The sequence below is a fragment of the Homo sapiens genome, chromosome 9 (assembly GCF_000001405.40).
Source record: "Homo sapiens chromosome 9, GRCh38.p14 Primary Assembly".
NCBI lineage: Eukaryota > Metazoa > Chordata > Mammalia > Primates > Hominidae > Homo > Homo sapiens.
In genome coordinates this window covers 89,918,715-89,921,733 of record NC_000009.12, presented here as the reverse complement: position 1 = coordinate 89,921,733, position 3,019 = coordinate 89,918,715, and the positions used below count along the sequence as shown (strand labels likewise).

The following is a 3,019-nucleotide window of genomic DNA, read 5'->3' as shown; positions in this document are numbered from 1 at the left end:
ATATTTGAAAGTTCTTGCACCCATTTCAGAAATAAGTGTATCTTGCTCTTCCTACTCTAACTGAAACAGCTTTTTAAAGAAAAATAGTAGAAGGAGACAAACACAGTCAAATCTCTGAATGACTCCCTTCATTTTAATGAGGACACATGAAGATGGCTCCCCAGGGGCCCCCTCCTTGCCTGCCCCATGTTCCTATGATAACCTGGGCTTTGTGTGATTGAAACCTTGGACCCTTGAGACGTTAGTTTTGATGGTGGTATTTCTGTTGCCATTAGCAAGGGAATTTAGAAATCCATGAACACGATGCAAGAAAGAGAGCGCCAGCATACGCGGAGCTCCGCTGCTGCCTCTGAGAGAGGCTGGTGTTTCAGGAGGAACTCAGACTCATACCCCTTTACCCCCATCTTCCAACACGAGGATCCCTTTGCACACTCACCCTGCTGTCTAAAGGTAGCGCCCTCAAATACTGTACATGCACACCGGTTGAGAAGGCCAAGTACCCCTTTTGTTTCTGTCTTGCTTTGCAAGGATTGAAAATTCTCCCTCCCTGAGCAATACAGCAGTCATCTTCAAAAGTAGGACAGATCTCAGTTGGGAAGCTCTGTTTCTGGGACACTGCCCTGAGGGTGTTTGTGAATGTGGTCGCCCTGTGAGGAGAACTGCAGCCGCCAGCAGGGACAGCTTCAGCGGATGCAGCCTGGACTCACAAGACGGGTGCCTTTTCCTTTTTATACCACTTGCCTGGCATCAATTCACAAAAGATGTTTCATGAACGAATGTTAGAACAGTGGGAGTTCAAAATAAGAGGCTGTATACCATCTTCGCCCCAGTGACACTTTCAACATTCCAGGAACGAGGCTGTATTTGTCTTCTTGGGCTTCCAGAACAAAACAGCATAGACTGCATGGCTTAAATGACAGACATTATTTTCTCACAGTTCTGGAGGCTGGAGGTCCCAGATCAGGGTGCTAGCATGGTGGGGTTCTGGTGAGGGCTCTCTTTCTGGCTTACAGATGGCTGTCTTCTTGCTTATCCTCAAGTGGTGAAGTGGGGAAGTGGGGTAAAAGGGAGGGGATAGAGAAAGAGAGGGAGAGAAAGCTCTCAGCTCGCTTATAAGGACACTAACCCCATGACAACAGCCCACTCTTACAATCTCATTTAGCCTTAATTACCTCCTAAAACCCTATGTCAAGATACAGCCATGTTGGGAGTTAGGACTTCAACATATGAATTTGGGAGTGACACAATTCAGTCCATAGCAAAAGTCTTATGACGTCTGCTCCATTTGACACTATTCAACTCACACACTTTCCCTCCTCATGCCCCAACTTAGGCTTCTCAGACAACACTCCCTGGGGCTCCTTCCTGCCTTTCCAGCCTCTCCTCCATTTCCATCCTGGCCACCGCCACCCTCCACCTGGCCTCCCAGCTGCCTTCTCTTCTCCTGCTGCCCTCCACCCCAGACGAGCTCGTTCTAACACATGGCTTTCTTGATGTTGTCTCTGGTATCAAGGAACAACATGAAGAGCTGTAGAGTCAGACCAACCTAAGCATGAATCCCAGCTCTGCCACTTCCTAGCTATGTGATCTCGGCCACATTAGCATCCCCACATCCCAGTTTCTGTGCCAGTACGGTGGGTAGAGTTCACTCCCCATTCACCCAATCCGGCATTTATTCCCTGCTGTCCACCCAAACTCCACCTTGCCACAGTCCTTGGCCTCTTGTCTCTTCCCATTTTATTTTTCAAATGTTTATTTTGTCATCATTTCCTTGCTTTTCTAATCTTTATTACATGCATATACATCCCTCAAAATATATACTGTTTAGGTTTGCATGCTTTCAACTTGAAAAAAGAATGGTGTTGTAAAGTACACATTGTTCCATGATACTGTTGATTGGCCCGTTTGTGTCTGTTTTTAAGTCTTATTCCCATGTATAAATATGTTGTTATCACTGTTTATAGGTATAACAAGCCTTTTAACACAAAATGGAAGTCAATTTTACAAAGATCTTGGTGCTTTTTCTCTACATGCCCATGGTAAGTCTGGCTGCCTAGGAAAACCACGGCTGCCCTAATGACAACACCTTCCTTGATGAGCAGCCCTGGCCTTTTCTTCAGCATTGCCTGGGGAACGCAGTGCTGGGGACTTGGCCTCCACAGCAGCATGCCATGGAGTAGGAGGAACCAAAAGGTGGCGGTTGTGAGTCAGGGTTATGGGAGGCTATATTAAGGGACCTTGAGAGGCCAACGTAAGGACATCCCAGCTCTGTCTCTACAGGTCTGGGGTGGAGGGACGGGGTGCCCAAGCAGACACAGGAAGAGAGGAGGGGATGTGAAGTAGGAAGAGGACTGCACAGGTGGAGACAGAGTGCATCAGAGCCTGTGACCTGCGAGCCGAGGGCACCAACCCAGCTGTCTGGATTTGGGACTGAGTTGAGGAGGCAGCACTAGGAGAAGCACGGCGCCATCCTATGGAGGCTTTGGGAACATCCTCTGCACTCTGCTGCGTAGGGCATAGGCTGGGCGGGAGGCTGGGGTGAAAGAAGGAAAGCCATCCCGGGCATGAGGAAGCACTCCTGCCCCGGGCAGATACCTGCTGCTCACTATTGAGTTCTCCCATGTGCCAGCCACATGCCTGCACCAACTGTCTTTTCTATTCCTCTCAGAAAGTCTCCACATTAACTACAGAATTACTTTTCTTCCCACGTTAAGGAGGGAGAAACTGAGGCTGAAAGTTTTTCCATCTGTTACTCACCGTCCCATAACTGTCCAAGGGTAGAACTAGGAACTGATTCTGTAGCTTGGGTTCCAAACCTGTCATGAAGATGCCCTGCTGGTTATGGAAAGAGGGATTGATATGTGAGATGTCAAGGGGTGATACAGACCAGGCTTGATAACCGATGGAAAAGAAAGACGGGGGAGGTGGGGCTGACCCTCATGCCTGGGTGAACCATCCTGTTATTTCTCAGGAGAGGAAAAAGGCTGTAAAAAAGGAAGGTGGGGCATTTGAGGGACTG

The 3,019-nt window shown here is 48.5% G+C and overlaps 1 annotated feature.

Annotated features, from left to right (window-relative positions):
• Positions 389-558: an enhancer, noted in NCBI's record as "experimental_108797 CRE fragment used in MPRA reporter constructs". NCBI's record gives its function as "activates a minimal promoter by MPRAs in K562 erythroleukemia cells, with activity observed for both the introgressed and non-introgressed 9:92683543 variant alleles {active_cell/tissue: K562}" and the evidence as "EXISTENCE:reporter gene assay evidence [ECO:0000049][PMID:34662402]".